The 23304-nt window shown below is 39.6% G+C and overlaps 1 protein-coding gene across 5 annotated transcripts in view; it reads left to right on the top strand.

The window, feature by feature from the left end:
- The window catches only part of GPR176 (G protein-coupled receptor 176), a 121259-nt gene that overhangs the window by 43926 nt on the left and 54029 nt on the right, over positions 1 to 23304 (top strand). The window contains exons 1-3 of one of the 5 annotated variants that reach the window (XM_011521167.4): positions 13522 to 14013; positions 14181 to 14264; positions 15419 to 15521. The exons of 3 other annotated variants lie outside the window; for them this stretch is intronic. In XM_011521167.4, coding sequence (XP_011519469.1) covers positions 15446 to 15521 — 76 coding nt within the window. In that variant the 5' untranslated portion in view covers positions 13522 to 14013; positions 14181 to 14264; positions 15419 to 15445. Of the gene's footprint in view, positions 1 to 13521; positions 14014 to 14180; positions 14265 to 15418; positions 15522 to 23304 lie in introns of those variants that run through there. One more of the 5 variants, XM_017021873.3, reaches the window with a different exon arrangement.

Below are 23304 nucleotides of genomic sequence, written 5' to 3'. Positions count from 1 at the left end.
GAAATTCTCCCTGAAGTGTAGCATCTGCTATTTATTTCACATGTTTACTATCAATTTTGAATATATGTTAGTAGGACCATGAAAGAAGTTATATGTTTATGCAGCTGAAGCATTTATTTTTATTCTTCTGCTCAATTCTCTTCTTCTTCTTCTTTTTTTAAAAATATGTATTTCTTGAGTCAGGGTCTCACTCTGTCACCCAGGCTGGATCACCCAGGCTGGAGTGCAGTGGCAGGATCGTGGCTCACTGCAGTCTCAAACTCCTGGACTCTAGTGATCCTCCCACCTCAGCCTCCTGTATAGCTGGGACTACAGGTGTGTACCACCACACCCAGGTTAAATACATATATATATTTAAATTAAATATATACATATATGTAAATTAAATATATACATATATTTAAACTCATATATATATATGAGTTAAACATTGGGAGGAATAAAAATAGATTACAAAATATTGCAAAAAAGTACACACCAAATAAGTCAGATGATGACAGGTGGTGGTTTGTGTATGTGGAAGAAACTTCTTTGAGTTAAGCAAGATGATAAAGGGAGTATTTTAAATTTTTATCATACTTAATGATTTTAAAAACATTTTCACATATGTTATTCACTTTTCTCAACATACCCATTAGGTAAGGAGGCTCGGCACTAAAACCCCATTTCCTACATGAAGAAATTGCAAGTCAGGATTTGACCAAGCTCATGGAACTGAGTGGCAGATTGGATAAGAATCTGTTTGCTGACTCTTGATCCAGTGGGCTTCCTAATACTGCCGATTGTCTATGAATAGATAGCATTGAAAAGCTCAATATTTACAAATGAGTCAATTTTGCTTGTATGTGAGAACATATGCAGTTCTCCAGGAATGCTTTAAAGTGTCAGCTCCAAGAGTGATATGAAAATATTTGTCCATCTAGCATGGATTCTGCAAAGACAAGTATTTATCTGAAAACACCTTACCAAACAAATTATTTCTTTGTAGTCAAAGAAACAATAGAAATTCCAATTTGTATTGTCATGATAATCTAAGACATTTTTAGAAACGGTTGGTTTTTGCTTTTATCAGGCTCAAAAAGCGAGATAGTGGCTCCCATATTTAGGAATTTTGAAACTATTAATTTTGACAGGTAGAAACAAAGCCATTATTCCAAACAAAAGTGAGTGAACTCTGCCTGGCACCAACAGATGGCAGTATTGGTTGTGTACTGGGCTCCATGTTCTGTTGTTAGTCTATGGTAGACTCACGTTTGCTGGAATTGCAGTTAATTTTTTGTTTGTTTGTTTTTGTTTTTGAGATGGAGTTTCGCTCTTGTTGCCCAGGCTGGAGTGCAATGGCGCGATCTTGGCTCACCACAAACCACGCCTCCCAGGTTCAAGTGATCTCATGCCTCAGCCTCCCAAGTAGCTGGGATTACAGGCGTGCGCCATCATGCCCAGCTAATTTTGTATTTTTAGTAGAGACAGGGTTTCTTCATGTTGGTCAGGCTGGTCTTGAACTCCCGACCTCAGGTGATCCACCTGCCTTGGCCCCCCAAAGTGCTGGGATTACACACATGAGCCACCGCACCCAGCTGGAATTGCAGTTAATTTTTAAGCATTTTTGTGACATTATTAACCTCATGTAAGGTGTATGGAAAGCAATGATAATAAGAAACATTCTATTACTCCAAGTCTTATTGACTTTTAAGAAAGTAAAGATGATAAAAGGTGAAGCAACAATGATGACTTCCCTAAGTATGCAAGAGAAGAATCACTTGACACCAGATTGTTTCTGAATGACAAACTGCAGACCATGTAACACATGTAAACTACTGTTTCAATGCAGCTAACAATACATAGCAAGATGAAAGAAATGTGACTGAGGAGAAGGAAGAACTTTGGAATTTGTTATTGCATAAAGCTCTGTCAATATAAAAAAAAGATGCCAATTAGGCTAATATTTGGAGAAGATGAGAAGGTTTGGTCTGGTGAAAATGGATGGTATCACAGGCTTTATGACTGTTCCCATCAGCAGATCATCCATGTGAGATGTCATTGGTAAGCATCTGACATAACCCCTGAGGGGTTGTCAACTCTTGGGGAGTTACTATTGAGGGGAGTTACTTACCACACTACAGGTCAATTTTGGAAAAAGATGCCCAAATCTAAGGAAGATCAATGAAAAGAAGAGGAGGATGACTGGTGTTGAAACTCTGAAGTGTCACCCACCTGTTTGGTGGAAACTCATATAGAGACTGCAGACTTACGTAAGTCACTTGAGACTTACAGACATCTTCTCAATACCTAACCTTCGTGCAATACATTTTGAGTTCTTCATGTCATTAGGTTTTGGGGGAAGCATGGCTAGTTGATTTCATAGATTTCCTTTTTGCACAGTAATTTAAAAACCTGCCCTTGAAAATCTTTAATCAGAAACACTTAGCAGGGGCAAATTTTTATCAGCTTGAATTTCACCATCTGACTTTGTACTTTTCTGCTTGGTGATAAAGATGTAGTTAATGAATAGAATGGCCAAAAGGGGGACAAGAATAGAATAAGATGAAAGACAAATGACTGGTTGACAATCGTGGGGGCTGGCTTGTGGTGATGGTGAAGGTGCAGGGTGCCCATAGATAAGTGTCAGTGTCTCCCACTTGGTTGGTCTACTAGGAAGCTACTTCACCTTCTATTGAATATATATTAATAAGAAAAACTAGTCTCAAAAAAAAAAAAAGAAAAGAAAAACTAGCCCATGGCTGGTTAATTTCTCATAGAATGAGGTGCTAATGTATGAGCCTAGGTCACCCATGAAATTCACAGATTAGCTCTTCATTTGCTGCAGCCAGTGTTGTAGTTTTCGGTTCTATGCTGTCATCTTGGCCTGTGATATCCCTACCTGCGCACAGCTGGTATTTTTGGTTATATTTGATTTCTCTCTCTTCCTCTTTCTCATTCCCAAATTGATTCTGCCCCTGAAATGTTTCCCATTATCACTTGCCACTGCTGTAGTCCAGACCTTATTACCTGAGAAACAGTGTAGTAAAAATTTGGGCTTTGGAGTCAAACTTGACTTAAGAACCTGTTCCTTCCACCCACTAGCTTTATGACTTTGGGAGAGCTGCTTAACTTCTCTAAGCCTCTGTTTTCTCAGGCAGAAAATGTGGTTAGTTATAGTACCTACTTTGTGAGGTTGTCTTGAAGATCAGATAAGACAATACAAGTATAGTGCTTAATGTTTAATATATGTTAGCTATCAGCACCTGTATTTTTCGAATGGACTCTTCACTGTTTTTCATTTCTCTGATCTTTAGCTTCTTCAAGCCATTTCTCCTACTGTTACCAAAGTTATTTTCTTAAAGCACTGTTTGGATTCTATTACTCTCATGATTACACACACACACACACACACACACACACACACACACACACACACACACACACACAGATATTTTGGATATTTGTCCCCACCAAAATCTCATGTTGAATTGTAATCCTCAATGCTGGAGGTGAGGCTTGGTGGGAGGTGTTTGGGTCATGGGAGCAGATCCCTCGTGGGTTAGTGCTATCTTTGCGAAAAGTGAGTGAGTTCTTGTGAGATATGGTCTTTTAAAGGTACGTGTGGCACCTCCCCACCAACTCTCTCTCTTGCTCTTGCTTTCATCATATGAATGTGCCTGCATCCCTAGAAGCAGTTGCTGACATTATATTTCCTGTACAGCCTGCAGAACTGTGAGCCAATTAAACCTCTTTTCTTGTAAATTACCCAGCCTCAGATATTTCTTTACAGCACTGCAAGAATGCTCTAATACACACACACTAGCAGCAGCAACAACCACACAGTGAAGTCCTTTCCTGGTATCTCATTACCTAGAGGATAAAGTTGGTCTATTTTGATCTCTTAACAATTGGGTCTCATCCTGCAAGGGATGTCCTATTGTGTCCAGCCTCATGTCCTGCTGTATCCAGTTGTCAGCCTGTACTCCTCCTTCTCATACTCCCCATCTTCTCTGTACACATCGTGTATGTTTAGCTTTCTCTCCACCATTGACTTCATCCTGCTTCAGTTTGGAATGAACATCCCAAATGCCCTCACCTATTCATTCTTCAAGGCCCACCATGTCAGACTTCATACCTCTTCTTTTCTCCTACAATGTTGTTTATCTCTCTATTATACAACTTATTTCTTCTTGCCTTAAAAGAGTTTTACTGAGTTATTTTCATGCAGCTGCCACCAGCATATTCCAACCTTGGGAATGTAAGGAACTTGTTTTAGGAATCTTTGTATTCTCTATAGAGCCTAACTCAGTGGGTTGCATATTTGTAAGTGCTCAGAAAATAAATGCTGAATTGGATAAAATTGGCCTCATTATCCCTTTCCCATTAAAAAGCAATCTAATTTGCTAATTCAGGGTTTATTTATGAATGTCTTTCCATTTTAGCTTTTAGGTCACTCAGTAGGGATCAGTACATAGCATGGTATTGACATTAGATGAATGTATGTGCTTTGAATTCAAATCCTAATTAGTTAGATTCCCAGGCAGGTTGACTTTTTTGGTTGCTAGGAAATCAAGTAATAGAAAGGTATCACTCCATCAGTCATTGGTCACCTGCATGGGTGGAAAAGTTCGTGCAGATACTCTTGAGTTTATTTAGGGAAGCTTGGGAAAGGGTTTTGAAGCTTTTAGCCATACAGCGGTGAGGAACTACAGTAGAGTATTAGGAAAGGGGCCATGAGGATGAGGTCAAGGTGACAATCGAAGAAGGCAACTTGAGCATGTGGTGAGCACTGTCTGTTGTGTACTAGTTCTGTTAAAGGCAGTGAATCCTGCCCTGAGGGATGGAGGAAGTACTGTATTTCTCTCTACAGAAATACTTTGCAATGAAACATACTCCTACATCTCCACTCTCTACCTTGCCCTGTGTGATAAGAGATGGAAGGATATTAACAAAGAATGGTTTATTAGTCCCCACTTTTTCTTTATGGAACTCTCTTACTCTTTGATATCATGTCAGATTGGAACCTCAAAATATTATTTTTTGACTGCTCCATTAGACCTCAGTTTGGTGTTCTTCATCTGTTTTGGGCCACTGGCTTGTTGAGGATATGATGCAAGTTATGAACCCATTCCTTAGTTAAATGCACACGTACTCTAAAATTTTCATATAATTTCAGATAGTTTATTGACCCTCCCAAAGTCTGTCCTTACAATTCTCTTTTTAAATTCTGTGCTTGCCAACTGTATTAGTTTTCTATTATGCTTGGCAGTTAGTGACTTAAAACAACACAAATGTATTATGTCAGTTTCTGTGGGCCAGGATTCTGTCATGGGTAAGGTGAGTCCTCTGCTCAGGGTCTCACTAGGCTGAAATGAAGGTGTCAGTGGGGGCTGCAATCTTATCTGAGATTATCTTAGCTGAGGTCCTCTTCCAAGCCCATTCAAGTTGTTGGCAGAATTCAATTTCTTGCAATTCTAGGATGGGGTCCTCATTTTCTTGCTGGCTGTTACCTGGGACTCTAAGCTCCTAGAAACCCTTCCTCAGTTCGTAGTGAGAGGGCCCTCTCACAGCATGGCACCTCACTTCAAAGTCAGCAGGAGAATCTCAGTCAGTGGGCTCTGACAGAGTCTCATATATTATGCAGTGTAATCAAGGGAGTGGCATCCCATCATACTCGCAGGTCCCACCCACATTCAAGGGGAGAGGATTATACAGGGTATGTAGACCAGGGATTGGGAATCTGGGGGGCTCAATTTAGAATTATGCCTCCCACACCAATTCTCCATTTTGTTAGTTTTCTGGTTTTGGTGTTATGACACACTGATAAGTAAAGATAAGTTGTAAGATATCACAAATAATCTGTTATCAATAAAGTACTGGAATTTATCATTTTCTTCTAATAGGAAGAGATTTGCGGTTATCCTTTAAATGATGTCATTCCCTTTTGCTGCTCTCTTGAAGGGAATAGAAATGGATGGAGTTGCTATAGCCCCCCTGTAGTAGGCCCCCAAGATATCCATGTCTTAATTCCTGAAACCTGTGGCTATTACCTTATATGGCAAAAGGGATTTTGCAGATGTGATCAAATAAAGGATCTTGAGATGGGAGATTTTCCTGGATTATCTGGGTGGGCCTTAAATGTCATCACAAATGTTCTTGTGAGAGCGAGGCACAGGGAGGGAGATTTGACTACAGAAGGAGGAGATGTGACAATGGGGGCAGGAAGTTGGAATGACACGAGGAAGGGATCATGAGCAGCCTTCAGAAGCAGAACAGCAAGGAAACAGATTCTCCCCTAGAGCTGCCAAAGGAACTGGCTCTGCTGACGCCTTGACTTTAGCTCAATGAAACTGATTTTGGACTTCTGCCCTCCAGAACTGTTAGAGAATAAATGTGTGTTGTTTTAAGCCATGAAATTTGTGGTTAACTTGTTTTTTAGCAGTCCTAGGAAACTACCCTTTAATAACTGTGTTTACTTCTAGATATACTAATGGGACACCACCACCCCACATCTATGATGTCTACATTTTAAAAAAAATATGCACTGAGACTATTTGGGGATAAAGTTGGAAGAGGTCAAACAAAATGGGGAATATTTCTAAGGATCAAATGTGATTGGGGTAAAGGATTAATATTGTGCTATTGCAAAGAGACAGTAGGCCTTTGAACAAGAGTTCAAAATAAATAATAAAATAATAAATAATTGAGAGAAACAAAAGAATGAAGGGATTAAAAAGGGAACAAAATGTGAGGAAATGAAGATGAGGAGAAGAGAGAAGAAAAAAATAAGGAATGGAGAAGTACAATTTGGCCACAGATGTGCTCTGTAAACAGCTTGTGACAAGTGGCTCTTGTCTGGGAGGATTGATGGCTCAGGGCTGCACCTCTGGGAGCTGAGACACCTGCCCGAGGTCGGCATCATGACAAAGCTGTTTCTTCTCCACAGCTCGGTAGCGATGTCATGAGCACCTTGCCATTGCCTCTTGTGGCTTCAACTGCTGTGTCTGGGACTCCAGATCCAAGAATCTCTGCCTTCTTTTAAAATAGTTTGATGGAGGAAAAGATATAGGGTATTTTTTATTTCACCTAACCTAAGTATTTTCCAAAATACCCATGATAGAGTCCTTTTTAAAGTAAAATGATGGACCCTAAAATAGCAAAATAAAAAGCTCACCACAGTGTTCTTTTTTTTTTTTTTTTTTTTTTAAAAAGCAGTTGTGGGAATGAAGGACAGTGCTGCCACTTGAACAGAATGCAGAGGGGAGTGTATACACAGTGCTTTTGGAAACTCAGATGTCTCAGAAAATGTTCTGTAGGACTAAGCACTTATTTGGGGGAATTTTTTTTTTTTTTTGAGACAGAATTTTGCTCTTGTTGCCTAGGCTGTATTTGGGGGATTTCTTACTTCACTAGCAAGCCCATTTCCCATTTCCGGTGACCTCAGACTCTTTTATGAAGCCAGACCTGTTACCTCATCGGACAGGTCATTCAGGTGAATTTCAGGTATCTGCAGAGGACAGACACTGGCCTGGCTCCTGCCCCTTCGTATGGGCACAACACTGTCCAGGTAGCCCCTGCACAAGGACTGGAAGCTGATGGTTACTGAGATTTTGGTCTGTCCCCCACATTTCATTGTAACCGCTGGGTTAATGGGCTAATGTTAGCACTAATTAAAGATGTCTCTCTTAAAGCCTTTATCCTGAGCATTCCTAAAAGTCCAATAAAAAAACCCACAGCAAGTGTTTTGGCAAAGTAGTTCTAAAAATGACTGTATGCATAAAGCATTGGTTTGTCTTTGAGTGACCTCTTTGACTGACCTAGATACCATGATTAGCCATGTGCCAGTTCCAGGGAAGATGTGCCCAAGTTGCTAATTCCTACTTCGTATCTCATTTGTATGTCTTACTAAAATCAGAAGATCCCCCTTCTGCCCTGCTTTCATTTAGAAGCTGCCTGATACTCACAGTCAGCATGGGGACCCTGCTTGTTTTTAGGCTGGTTTATGGACTGCCTTTGTTGAGAAAAACCACTCTGCTGCCTGTATTCTGATCACATCACCAATCACATTGCTCCTGACCATCAGTCACATTTGTCAAAAAAGTGACAAGGACTCCAAGAGCCTGGAGAAACCCATTTGTGGGTGGCTGTTCGTGATCCCAGACTTTTGTTCTGCTGCTAGCTTCCTGCTCCTGCTTTCTCCTTGCACCAGTGTAAAACTCAGTTCATTCATTCCTGGTGCCCTTTGCACTTAGCTATCTCTTAATGATGGTAGAAGGTCCTTCCAGCCCCCCATCCCACTTATCTAGTAAGATGTCATTTATTATCTTAACAGGTGGCATCATGGCTTAGGCTTTGGTTGGATCAGCCTGAGAAAATAGCTGGAATCCAGGTAATAATATAAACATTGAAAGAGACTTCAAACCTCATGTAAAATCTTGCCCTCCAGCCACTCAAACTGTCTCCTATTCCAAAATACTTGAGCAGAGTTGCTGTAGTTCACATCCCTCATCATAGATGGTCCTGAGCAGTCTAGATGGTGGTCGGGATACTCTGGGCCCCACTCTGCCTTAGCCTTGTGTCCACTCCTCACTTCACTCTTTTCCTCTTTTCTCTCCTGTCAGTTTGACCTCATAAATATGCCTCCAGGATCTGCTCTTTCTCCGCTGTTTACTCACGTCTTGGGGAGAGGTGCTAACTAGATTTCTGTCCCTCCTGTCTCTTGCTCCTCCAGTTCTAAAATCCTCCCCACCCCGCATCTGCTGATTTCACTCAGCCACCTAAAATCCTCCTTTGGCCCTGAGTAGCCTCCAGCGTGAGGTTCAAACCCTGGGGCCTTTGAGGCGTTTCCCAGCTGGCTTGCCCCTCACCTCCCCTCCTGCCAGCCATGACTTTGGCATTTCCTGGCCAGCTGTGCATTTCCCGATGTCCTTCTCTGTGTGTCTGCTGTCTTCTCTCCCATCCTTCTCTGCCTAACTTATTCTTATTGTCCACATTTGGAATCTCAACCCCCAGTTTGAGTCCAGTTTTCCTTTTCTGTGGTCCCATTGCACCTTCTAGCAGAGTCCTTAAACTGGACACAGCATCATGGTGGTAGAGTCAGTTGGCCTTGGCCCCACTACACATGTAGCCCATGTATTATGGGACTGATTGGTATCAGCCGGCATGAACACCTGTAAATTCGTTTTGCACTTTATAGCTTCATCTCAGGACATCACCTGCCACCTTCCTCTCTACTCTCAGAGTAAGAACCATCTTCCTAAAATTAATCTTTCACTTGGATTCTGGACTCCTCATGACTTTGTGCCACATGTTGATTATACCTCATATGAATTCTCTTTCTCCTCTCTGGATGCCTGCCCACACCTCAGGTTTCCATTCTTTCCTTCTCTCTGTCCCTTGCTTGATCCTGCTGTACCCTCTTGTTCCCTCAGTTTTAGAACACGGGCACCACTACTCACTCCACCTTGCTCCCCCTTTGTATGCTTTCCAATCTGACTTTTGGACAGTCCACCTTCCTCATATGTTTCAGTGATTTATTTCTTCACACATTTATGGTATCATTTAAAATAGTACATTTAAAAAGTTCAACTTTATTTTAGATTCGGGGATACACATGCAGGTTTGTTACACAGGTGTTTTGTGTGATGCTTACATTTTTGAAAATATTTTTCAAAGTAAGAATTATCACATTTCTGAGTTGGTACTTTTATACATATATTTTTCTCTTAGAGTATCTTGGTTCTTAGAACATTAATATACTCACTTAAAAAATCCTATAATATACTTAAATTAGTTTCAAAATTGCTACTGACAGTAATCCTACTAGTGAAGTTTGCTATTTCTTACTATCCATTTTGTCCTTAGACTATATATTGACAAGGATGTACGGTGTTCAAAAGTTTCTTGAAATTATTCTTTCTTTGTGTAGTTATGTTACTAATGTGAGACAATTACATTTACTTGTTTTTGTTTTGTTCAATCATAGGGTCTGTTTTTCCCCATTTTAGTTTAATGTAATTTATTAAATATGTTAAACATTTACTTTGTTCAAAATGGAGAAGTATATCGAGAGGGATAATTAGAAAAGTCCAGCCTGTCCTTTCCACAGCATCCACCCCACCCCTTATAGATATCCACTTTCCATACATTTTTAAATTTATCTTTCTGGTATTTCTTTTGCAAAAATAAGCAAATATGTAGTATATATATTCTTATTTTCCACTTTTTCTTATACAAAAAATAGCATACCATATATTCTTTTCTACACTTTTCTTTTTCACTTAACAATATGTCTTGGAAAAAATCCTTTCATATCTACTCACAGAGATCTTGCTCATCCCTTTTTATGATTCACAGAACTCCACTGTGTGTATATAATTTATTTAACTGGTTCCCTCTTGGTGGATATCTGTTTTGTTTCCAGTCTTTCACCGTTACAACTAATGCTACAATGAATAACTATTTCATATATTGTTTTATTTTTGTCAAAGTGTATTTTCTAGATGGGTTCATAGAAGTGGGATTGCTGGGTCAAAGGGAAAATGCATATGAAATTTTGTTAGATGTTGCCAATGCATATGTAAATTTGTTAGATATTTTTTCCATAGGGTTTAAAGAAATTGGTGGCAGATGGCACTTTGATATAGTCCTTTTTTGGTATAAATTTATGGGGTACAGTTGTAATTTTGTTACACGCATAGATCACATAGTGGTGAAGTCAGGTCTTTTAGGGTATCCATAATCCAAATAATGTACATTGTACCCATTAAATAATTTTTCATCATCCATCCTCCTTCCACCTCCTCACCCTTCTGGGTCTCCATTTTCTGTCATTCCATGCTCTACCTCCATGTGTACACATTATTAAACTCGCACTTATAAGGAAGAACATATGGTATTTGTCATTTTGTGTCTGATTTGTTTCACTTAAGATACTGATCTCCAGTTCCATCCATGTTGCTGAAGAAGACATGATTTCATTGTATTGTATGGTTGAATAATATTCCATTGTGTATATATGTAACATTTTCTTTATTCATTTATCTGTTAATGGATACTTAGGTTGATTCCATATCTTTGCTATTGTGGATAGTGCTGTGATAAACTTATGGGTACAGGCATCTTTTTGATATAAGGATCTGTTTTCCTTTGGGTAGATACCTAGTAGGGGGATTGCTGGATCAAATGATAGTTCTATTTTTAATTCTTTGAGAAATTTTCATATTTTTTCCATAGAGGTTATACTCATTTAAATTCCCATCAATAGTGTATAAGAGTTTCCTTTTCTCTATGTCCTTGCCAACATTTGTTATTATTTTTTTCTTTTTAATAATAGCCATTCTTGACTGGTGTAAGGTGATATCTTATTGTTGTTTTAATTTGCATTTCTCTGATGATTAGCAATGTTGAGCGTTTTTTTTTTTTTTCCACATGCCTGCTGGCCATTTGTATGTCTTCTTTTGAAAAATGTCTATTCATGCTTTTTGGTCACTTTTTAATGGGATTATTGGGATTTTTTTGTTGGATTGTTTGAGTTCCTTGTAAATTCTGGATATTAGTCCCCTGTCAGATGCATAGTTTACAAATATTTTTTCCCATTCTGCAGGTTGTCTGTTCACTCTTGATTATTTTGCTGTACAGAAGCTTTTTTAGTTGGGTTAAGTCCCATTTGTCTATTTTTGTTTTTGTTGTCTGTACTTTTGAGGTGTTAGTCGTGAATTCTTTGTCTAGACCAATGTCCAGAAGAGTTTTTCCTAGGTTTCCTTTTTTAAGTTTTCTGTCCTCACAATCTGTTCCCATTTCCTAGGTTTTCTTCTAGTATTTTTATAGTTCTTAGGTCTTACGTTTAAGTCTTTAATCCATCTTGAGTTGATTTTTGTATATGGTGAGAAACAGGGGTCCAGTTTCATTCTTCTGCATATGCCAATCCAATTTTCCCAGCGGCATTTGTTGAAAAGGATTTCCTTTCCCCAGTGTATATTCTTGTCAGTTTTGTCAAAGATCAGTTGACTGTAAATATATGACTTTATTTCTGGGTTCTCTGTTCTGATACAGCCCTTTTGATGTGGTGACAGTTTAATGATCTGTTAAACTTTCAACCTTAAAAAAAGAATAGGTGAAACAAACATTTGTTAGTTCATCTGAGCCTTATTCCATTGCTGGTCAGGAGTAGGGGATCTGAGTACCAAGTGGTAAGAAAGGGGGTCAAATCAGGCAGCATCTGGTAGGAAACCACTCTATGTGACATAGAGTCACATATTTACCACGCTTTTCAGCTTAGTAGGGGTTGTTTTGTATACCTGTTTATTTTCTGAGAGTTCAAAAATTATTCAAGGGAAAGAATATTTGAACTATGATATGAGCCCATATTCTCAACACCAGACTGCAGTGGCAATCTTACACTCAGTAATATACAAGCCTTATATTCAATACATAGTCATGCTTTGCTTAACCATGGGGATACATTTTGATAAATGTGTCATTAGGCGATTTCATCACTGTGTTAACACCATAGAGTGTACTTAAAAAACCTAGATGGTACAGCCTGCTACGTACCTAGGCTAGATTATTACACAGTGGTTAAGTATTTGTGTATCTAACATAAAAAGGTAGAGTAAAATTACAGTTTAAAAGATAAAAAATGGTACACTTGTATAGAGTACTTAACATGAATGGAGCTTGCAGGACTGGAAATTTCTCTGTGTGAGTTGGTGAGTGTGAAGGCCCAGGACATTACTCTACACTACTATAGACTTTATAAAGACTGTACACTTAGGCTATGCTAAATTTATTTTTGAAATGTTCTTTCTTTTAATAATAAATTAATAAATTAACCTTAGCTTACTGTGGCTTTTTAACCTTACAAACTTTTAAATGCTTTAAAGCTTTTGGATTCTTTTGTAATAACACTTAGCTTAAAACACATTGTATAGCTGTACAAATTTTTTCTTTATATCGTTATTCTATATTCTATTTTAAATAGAAAAAATTATTTTAAAAATTTTTATTTTTTAAACTTTTAAACTTTTTGTTAAAAACTAAGACATACAGGAGATCAAGACTATCCTGGCTAACACGGTGAAACCCCATCTCTACTAAAAATACAAAAAAAAATTAGCCAGGCGTGGTGATGTGCACCTGTAGTCCCAGCTACTCCAGAGGCTGAGGCAGGAGAATGGCATGAACCCAGGAGAATGGCATGAACCCAGGAGTCGGAGCTTGCAGTGAGCCGAGATCGCACCACTGCACTTCTGGGCAACAGAGCGAGACTCTGTCTCAAAAAAAGAAAAAAAAAAAAAAGAAAAACTAAGACATAAACACACACATTAGTTAGGCCTACACAGAATCAAGATCATCAATATCACTCTCTTCTACCACCACATCTTGTCCCATAGGAAGGTCTTCAGGGGCAATAACAGGCAAGGAGCTGTCATCTCCAAGATAATGGTGCCTTCTTCTGGAATACTTCCTATAGAACCTGCCTGTGGTTATTTTAGTATATATATATATGAGATACACTCTAAAATAAAGATTAAAAGTATAATGTGGTAAATACATAAGCAAAAAGTACCATAGTAGTTTATTTTCATTATCAAGTATTATGTACTGTGCATAATTGTACCTGTTATACTTCTATATGAATGGCAGTGCAGGTTTGTTCACACCAGCATCACCACAAACACATGAATAATGCATTGTGCTATGACTTTAAGATGGCTGTGATGTCACTAGACCACTAGGTGATAGACATTTTTTTAGCTCTATTATAACCTTATGGGACCACCATTGTATATTCAGTCTGTCATTGACCAAAACATGTTTATTTGGCACATGACTGTATTTATAGAATTGTTGCAAGTGTGTGACCTGAAACTAACTGTAGTGGTCCACTGACTTTTGGAAAGGATTCTTAGAATCTGTATGATTTTCACCTCTGTAGTGTTTATTTACATGAACCAGCTCACATGCCAACAAATGCATCAAAAAGCCTGCTTTTCCTGATGGGGAGACTATCATCACTTATTTCATCAGGTAGGATATCATGTTTAAAAGTTCTTACCTTATATTCTTACAGGTAAGCTCAAGCTTTTTACACTTTTAGCAAAATTACTCGTAATACACATTTTTCTTTTCTTTTTCTATTCCCTATACCTTACTGCTCAGAATAAAACATAAAATTTTGATAATTCTGTTTTTAGATTGTACCAGTAAAAATTTAAGTTTAAACAACCAAACACTGAGAGTGGAACCAGGAGAAGTGAATTCTCACTCCAAGGGCAAAGGTAGGGCCAGAAATGGGGACTAAGCCAAGAGGGTCAGCAGTTCTAGTCAGGCAACCACTAGAGTGGCAGTTTCTAAAGGCCTCCGGAGGAGAAAAGGGTCCTACACAATAACCTAGAACAGAGAGGGACTCAGCCGTGGTACTTGGGTATGTCATCTTGTTAAAAGGCACAGGATTCATTTGGGCTGATAATTCAACATTGATTCTAAAGACCTGCAACAGTCGTCTTAAGATTTGCTGTGCAGCTACTGCTTTCTTTGTAAAACAGACCTTTAACATTTTGATGAGAAATTTCTGAATTGAAATACTAGCAACTCTCCAGCTGGCAGCCAGCTGATGTCTCTCTGATGTGAACTGATGTCAGATTTCCTGCTGGGCACACTGTTTATGTCACTCTTTAAGAGTACAGAATATTAAATGGAGATTGTCAGAAATCCTGAACAAAAAAGAAAGATTTATCTTGCAAAGCCAGGTTAAAGATACAATTTCTTAGACACATCAACACTAAAATATAGGATTTTTTTTTTTTTGAGATGGAGTCTCGCTCTGTCACCAGGCTGGAGTGCAGTGGCATGATCTTGGCGCACTGCAACCTCTGCCTCCTGGGTTCAAGTGATTCTCCTGCTTCAGCCTCCGGGTAGCTGGGACTACAGGTGCATACCGCTATGCCCAGCTAATTTTTGTATTTTTAGTGGAGACAGGGTTTCACCATGTTGATCAGGGTGGTCTCGATCTCTTGACTTTGTGATCTGCCAGCCTCGGCCTCCCAAAGTGCTGGGATTACAGGTGTGAGCCACCATGCCCGGGCTAAACTATAGTTTTATAATTAAATTATTTCAGACACTCTGCATATTATAAGTAAAGTAGTTCCTAAAAAGATCTGCCATGTTTACGTTATGTCATGGTTGATAAACTTTGCTAGCTGTCATATTGTGTGGCTTTTTTCTCTTAGATAAGTAGGGTGTTTGGAGGCTTTCCATCTAGAGTTTGTTAACTCTAGATTGTTTAGTCAATCAGCTTGGTGAGACATTGGACTCTTAGGATATTTCAGGGATTTATAGTTGGTATGAACAGAGGGCTTGCAGTCAGTACTATCTCAGAACCTCCATTAGTAGTGTTTCTCTTCTTCAGAGTAATTGATGCTAATTCTTTTAGGCTTTCCACCTGGTACCACCTTCCCAAATGGAGCCAGTGAGTGGGCATTCCAAGGCGCCCAGCACCATATTAATTGAGAATGGAACTTACGTTTCATTTTCAGGTAGGTATCAGTATCGGGAAAGTTGTAAAAACCAGAATGTAAGTACTCACAGAAGAGCAAAGTCAATCAGGCTCTTCATGACTCGGAGTAGCGTCAGCCTAAAATCCTCATCGGCAAGCAGGTCTAAGTTAGCTTCTCCTATCCATACTAGGGTAAGCCTGTGTTATGAGCCTTCAGGTCTCTTTTATTTCCCTGATTTAGCCAATCATGGGATGTATAGTCGATGACTTAAAAATGATTATAAACTAAGGCATTTTCTCAACAGACACTCTAAAATTACAGCTAACAGAGGGAGTAGAAGCTGGAGGAAAAAACACATGATTGGGAATATTTGCCATTGACACTGTGTATGATGCAAGAAGGCCATTGAACTCCCCTAGAAACTGAAAGCAGTCAGCCTTGCTTCTGTTCTCCTTTGCAGGAGACATGGAGAATGCACAAAGGGTATGCACTTCCAGTGCCCTGGGCAGGGGAGGAATGTGCTTTTTCCCAGCATCGATGATGCTAGAGAAGCTGTTTCTTGGCTAAGGATAGCCTGAAGCTCATCAGCCTGAACCCCGGCCTTTACCAGGACTTGAAACATTTATTTAAAAATCCTCTGTCTACATTCTTTGCATTGCCCATCCTCTCATCCACTAATGAAAAGCATGTATTCACACCATTGTTAATTCATTCATATGGATAGACTTTTTTTATTACTCTAGTATTGTTTTCAGTAGATTATCACCTTGAAATCTGAGGGCCAAGGAATTAATACAAGTGGCCTATATGTTGAGTTTGAATAATTTCTGTAATTTGAAGAAGTAACAATGGCTTTTTTTTTTTTGATTTAAGCCTTTTTTATTGTGGCAAAAAAAACACATGCCACATATTTACCATCTTAACCATTTTTAAGTATGTAGTTCAGTAGTGTTAATTATATGCACATTGTTGTACAGCCAGTCTCCATAACTCTTCATCTTGCAAAACTGAAACTCTACACCCATTAAACAACTCCCCTTTTCTCCCTCACCCCAGCCGCCGTTAACCACCCATCTACTTTCTGTCTCTACGAATTTGACTACTTTAGGTACCTCATATAAGTGGGATCATACAGTATTTGCCTTTGTGTGACTGGCCGATTTTACTTGGTATAATATCTTCAAGGTTGATCCATGTTGTGGGATTGCTAGATCATATGGTAGCTCTACTTTTAATTTTTTGAGAAATCTTCATACTGTTTTCCATAGCAGCTTGCACCATTTTACATTCCCACCAACAGTGCACAAAGGTTCCAATTTCTCTGCATCCTTGCCAATACTTTATTTTTGTTTTGTTTTTTTTTTTTTCACAGTGGCCATCCTAATGGACATGAGGTGATAGCTCATTATGGTTTTAATTTGCAATTCTCTGATGATTAGTGGTGTTGGACATCTTTTTATGTGCTTGTTAGCCATTTGTATATCCTCTTTGGAGAAATGTCTACACAAGTCCTTTTCCTTTTTTTAATCAGGTTATTTTTGTTGTTGTGTTGTTAGGAATTTTTTATATATTCTGGATATACATATAACATATATACATACATGTTACTTTTTCCTCAGATATACCTTTTTTCAGTGTTCATTCCTATATTACGATTCTATTCTTTCTTAAACATCTTTGATCATTTTAAATATACTCATTTTATAATCTTTTAAAGATTTTTCTATCCTAGTTTTTGGGTGCCAGTTTTCACATTTCTTGTGTCTGCTGATTCTCATGATGATTTGTTTTCTCACAAAATTTGTATTTTGTGGCCAGGTGTGGTGGCTAACACCTGTAATCCCAGTGTTTTGGGAGGCCCAGGTGGGTGGACCACCTGAGGTCAGGAATTCAAGATCAGCCTGGCCAACATGGTGAAACCCTGTCTCTACTAAAAATATAAAAATTAGCTGGTCATGGTGGCATGTACCTGTAATCCCAGCTACTCAGGAGTCTGAGGCAGGAGAGTCTCTTGAACCTGAGAGGTGGAGGCTGCAGTGAGCCAAGATCATACCACTGCACTCCAGCCTGGGCAACAGGGTGACACTCCATCTCAAAAAAAAGAAAAAAAAAGAATTTGTATTTTGTTTTTAATTGTGAGTTATTATCCTTTTTTTCTCACTCTGTCACCTGAGCTGGAGTACAATGGTGTGATCACTGCTCACTGCAGCCTTGACTTCCTGGGCCCCAGTGATCCTCCCTCTTCAGCTTCCCAAGTAGCTGGGACTACATGTGTGCACCACCACACCCAGCTGATTTTTTGATTTGTAAAAACAAAGTCTCATCATGTTGCCCAGGCTGGTCTCAAATTCCTGGCCTCAAGTGATTCTCCCTCCTTGGCCTCCCAAAGTGCTGAAATTACAGGCATGAGCTGCTCTGCCCAGCCCTTCAATGGTATTTTTTTTTTCTGTAGGAATTCAGTGCATTCTGAGTTGCAATCTTTCATAGAACAGTTTTGTATTCATTTCTGCCAAAGCCTCAGGGATTCCACAAATTCAGGACTAAATTTTATATTTCTTGATTTGGGATTCCCATATTATGCTTGGTGCAATATTGGATTTTATTTCTAACAGAATTTCTCTTCCTACCCAGACCTTCTGTCTTCTTGCTTGCTTTTTTTCTGCCAGTAAGCACCGTTTTTCTAGTTCCCTTTTCAGACTGGTCAACCTTGCTTGGGTCATAGCTTCATCCAGGTGTCTCATTTCCAGCTCCCAGATTTCCTCTTCCTCCACATAAGCATGAAAACCCTGGCCCCCAGGTCTTATGGCCTGTGTAGAGCTGGAGATTTCAGTACTGGCTTAGAGTTTCCTTTTTTTTCTTTTTTCTTTCTTTCTTTTTTTTTTTTTTTGGAGAAGGAGTCTCACACTCTTGCCCAGGCTGGAGTGCAGTGGCGCCATCTCGGCTCACTGCAAGCTCCACCTCCCAGGTTCACGCCATTCTCCTGCCTCAGCCTCCTGAGTAGCTGGGACTACAGGTGCCCGCCACCATGCCCGGCTAATTTTTTTTTGTATTTTTAGTAGAGACGGGGTTTCACCATGTTAGGCAGGATGGTCTTGATCTCCTGACCTTGTGATCCGCCCGCCTTGGCCTTCCAAAGTGCTGGGATTACAGGCACAAGCCACCGCGCCCTGCCCTTTTTTTTTCTTTTTTGAGACAATGTCTTGCCTTGTCACCCAGGCTTGTGTGCAGTGGTGCAATCACGGCTCACTGCAGCCTGGACCTCCCTGGCTCAAGTGATCCTCCCACCTCATCTTTCCGAGTAGCTGGGACTACAGACATGCACCACCACACCCCACTAATTTATGTATTTTTTATAGAGATGGGGTTTTGCTGTATTGCCCAGGCTGGTCTCTAACTTCTGGGCTCAAGCAGTCCTCAACCTCCCAAAGTGCTGGGATTGCAGGCATGAGCCACTGTGCCCAGCCGTATTTCCTTTTTAAGGCTTTCACTTTTGTTTTCTTTCAGGCTCAGTGATTCAGTATTATTATTTTTTATTGTGTCATTTGTGTATGTTTGTATTTGGGGCAGGGGGAAGTAAGGGTTGGGTTAATGAGTTTGCCCTGCTGCCAGAACAGGAAGCCAACCTAAATTCCCTCTCTGAACATTCATGGACTTTGACATTCATCAAGATTTTGTCCACTGCTCCTTTTTATCCTACCTTTTTCTGGATTATCTCATACACACCCATGGCTTTGCTTACTTGCATATGCTGCTTATTTCACATCTATGTGAGCTATATACAGTTAGACAGCTTTCCCCAAACTCAACCAATAAATATATATGGAATGCCTACTGTGCACTGGAATCTTCCCCAAACTCAACCAGTAAAGACATATGGAATGCCTACTGTGCACCGGAATCTTCCCCAAACTCAACCAATAAATACATATGGAATGCCTACTGTGTACTGGAATCTTCCAAAAACTCAATAAATACATATGGAACACCTACTGAGTACTAGATATTGCAGATCTAACAATGAACAAGTCATAGTCCATGTTTGGTAGCCAGTCTCCAAGATGGCTTCCAATCCGCCCATCTCCAATGTATTCATCCCATTGAGTGTGATTAGACTTAGTGACCCACTTCTAATCAATAGAATAAGGCAGTATGTGACTTGGAGACTAGGTCTTAAAAGACATTGCGGCATTATTATCTTGCCTTTTCTTGGATCAGTGTCTCTGGGAGAAGTCAGCTGCCATGTGTTCAGACAGCCCTGTGAAAAGGTTCACCTGGCAGGAACTGAGGCATCTTGCCAACAGCCATGTGGGTGAACAGAGCATCCTCCAGCCCGTTAACCTTCAGATGACTGCAGCCATGCCCCATAGCTTGACCATAGTCTCCTGAGAGACGCTGAGCCAGACCACCAGCCCAACTACTCTTGTATTCCTGACTTACCCATCATACATAGTTGTTGTTTGAAGCTGCCAAGTTTTGATGTAATTTGTTATGCAGCAGTAGATAACTAATATACTGTCTAAAGATTATATTTGTATGAGGGATAGACAGTAAGCAAATAAATGACATAATTGAGGAAAGTAGTGAGTGTTGTGAAGAAAACAAAGCAGCGTATGGTAAAGGTGTGTGGCTATTTTGGATAGGATTGTCAGAATGTGCTTTGTTTGGCCTGCACAGTATGTTTTGAGGAACTTTAATTCCAGACCCTTTAGATTGGGCATGCCTCCATGTCCAGATGTTGACCAGAGAGGTGGCATACTGCTGTCGTTTTGAGCATGGTTCTGGAATCAATTGCCTGGGTTTGAATCTTGTCTCCTTCACTTACTAGCTAGGTGATATTGGTCAAGTGATATATTTTTCTGAATTTGTTTCGGCATCTTAAAATGCAATGAATAATGATATCTACTCTTATGGTTGTTTTGAGGTTAAATGAATTTACATATGTAAGGTGGTTAGAACATAGCACTGCAGTCTTAGTAAGTTTAGTAAGTGTTACTGTGTTATTGCTGTTAATTTCCTGGATAATCCAGGTACTTCCTCCCCAAACTTAACTGTCTTTATTTGATCAGAGTTTTTGGTTGCAAACAGCAGAATCCACTTTGCTCAGCTGATGGGTATTTTATTAGAGGATATTTGGCAACTCACAGAATCTTAGAGATGGCCACATAACTCAACTGAGTTACTAAACAGAAACAATACAGCCAAAAGTGCAGCCCAGAAAATCCCCAGCCACACTATTCTAGTGGCCTTTATAATGCTGGGGCTTGGATGCCAGAAATTCTGCCACAGCTGCTTGCGAGAACCAAAACTCCTGCTGCTGTGCTCACCAGAGGCTCCACTCTTCCCACAGGAAGAGGAAATCACGCCTCTGTACACTAGTGGCAGGGGATGCTTGGGAAATACATGATCTCTAAGCTCTGCAATTATTCCTAAACATAGTGTAGCATTTTAGGTGGGCTGTGAATTGACGAGAAATAGGACCAGGGCTTATTTGAATTCCTCATGCCTTCACTATAGTTGGGACACACAAGACGAAATTGGGGAAAGAGTAAAATGGGGAATGTGGCTTCTTTATTGGAAGGTTCTTCATGCATAGTTTTGGAGTTTTGGAGTAAAATAGCATTGGCGATGTACTTTGTCATTGTAATACATGGAGAAAATAGTATTCTTTTAGCAGGTACTATGAAAATTCCTTCTGGGAAAGACTCATCTTTGTTAAGAGAGTTCTTTGATGAGTTGGCATAATAAGACCCTTTGGGACAAGTTTCAAGGTTTCCAAGGAGAGAATGAATTACTTTTTTTTTTTTTTTTGAGACAGGGTCTCACTCTGTTACCCAGGCTGGAGTGCAGGGGCATGATCATAGCTGACTGCAGCCTTGAACTCCTTGGCTCAGGTGATTCTCTCACCTCAGCCTCCCAAGTAGCTGGGATCACCGGTGTGCACCACCACACCCAGCTAATTATTATTTTTTTAGAGACTAGGGGTGTGGTGGGGGGATGTCTTACTATGTTTCCCAGGCTGGTCTTGAACTATTGGCCTCAAGTGATCCTCCCACCGCAGGCTCCCAAGGTGTTTGGATTACAGGTATGAGCCACTGTGCCTGGCTTGATTTACTTCTGAGTGGGAGGGGAACCAAGGGAGGAGAGGGGAGAATGACCACAACAGGAGACACTGTTGAGTCTTCCTCTATGTGACTGATTTCTATGCTCCCTACCAAGATTTCAGAGAAGTAACCCCAAATCACAGAACTCTTGGTATGGGCTAGATTTTTGTTATTATTTTATTTTGTTTTATTGGAGATCAGTAAAGAGAAACTAAGACTATGTCAGGGAACAAGATAGAGTGAGCACAAATGGCTACAGACCCTGAGATTCTAAATTCATAGGACATGATTCATAGAAGTCTTAGGTAATACTTTGGAGTTTTCTACACCATAAAAGTAAGGGGTTCAAGGAAATTTCCACTCCTTATGATATAGTATTAGAGAGGCCCTGGACACCATTTTGGTTATATAATCATCTAAAGGAGCTGATTCAAACCTCAAACAAATTGCCTAATCTTTGGAAAGAGACACTGGAATGAGAAGACATCTGAGATTTTCTTTTGGGCTAGAGTTTACATCACAGGTCCTGATTGCCTTGGGAGAACCTTATTGTCTGGGGATCCTTATTGTCTGCTTTCCTGAGCAACTCAGGAAAGTCTTGCTCTGGGCAGTGCTCTGAGATTGGGTTAGTCAGAAGCATCAGACTTTTGAATGTATTACAGACTCTCCCTCCCTTTCCCTCAATAGTTTCCTGGTGGCAAATATGGAAGGATGTATAGTAGACTCATTTTGTAGGCAACTTGACCTCAGTTTACTGTGTCAAATACAAGTTAAGGAAATAAAAACTTCAGTCTTCACCTAGAGTTAAATAATAATAATAATAATTATGATGATGATAATTGTAAGGCTAACATTTTTAAGGCTCTGAGCTATGCATTTTATATACCCTTATTGAACAGAAAACTCTTGAGCAGGATTTAACAACCTGACACTATTGACATTCTGGGACCAGATAATTTTTTGTTGTTGGGGGATGTCTTGTGCTTTGTGAGGATGTTTATAATAGCATCCCTGGCCTCTGTCTTCTAGGTGCAAGTAGCACTCCTGCTCCCAGCTATGACAACCAAAAATGTCTCCTTACATTGCCAAATGTTCCCAGGGGGACAAAATCACTTCTGATTGAGAGCCACTATTCTAGAGGAGAAAGAAATCTTTCTGTTCATTGATTTAATAGGTATTTTAAAAAATTATGTTAAAATATAACATAAAAGTTACCATCTTAACCATTTCAAGTGTATAGCTCAGTAGTGTTAACTATATGCGCATTGTTGTGCAGCTAATCTCCAGAACTTTTCGTCTTGCGAAACTGCAACTCTACATCCATTGAACAGCAACTCCCCTTTTCCTCCTTCCCCAGCTCCTGGAAACCACCAATCTACTTTCTGTCTCTATGAATTTGACTACTTTAGATATCTCATATAAGTGGAATCATATTTGTCTTTTTGTGACTGGCTGATTTCACTTGGTATAATGTCCTCAAGGTTCATCTATGTTTTAATATATGTCAGAATTTCTTTTCTTAAGGTTGAATAACTTTCCACTGTATGTATATATCATGTTTTCTTTATCCATTCATCTGTTGATGGATGTTTAGGTTGCTTCCACCTCTTGGCTATTATGAACAATGCTGCAATGACCATGAGTGTGCAAATATCTCTTCAAGATTCAGATTTCAGTTCTTTTGTATATGTACCCAAAAATTAGATTGCTGGATTATATAA

The sequence above is a fragment of the Homo sapiens genome, chromosome 15, assembly GCF_000001405.40.
Source record: "Homo sapiens chromosome 15, GRCh38.p14 Primary Assembly".
Taxonomy (NCBI): domain Eukaryota; kingdom Metazoa; phylum Chordata; class Mammalia; order Primates; family Hominidae; genus Homo; species Homo sapiens.
Note: the sequence above shows the minus strand (reverse complement) of the source record. Positions and strands in the feature narration are given on the sequence as shown.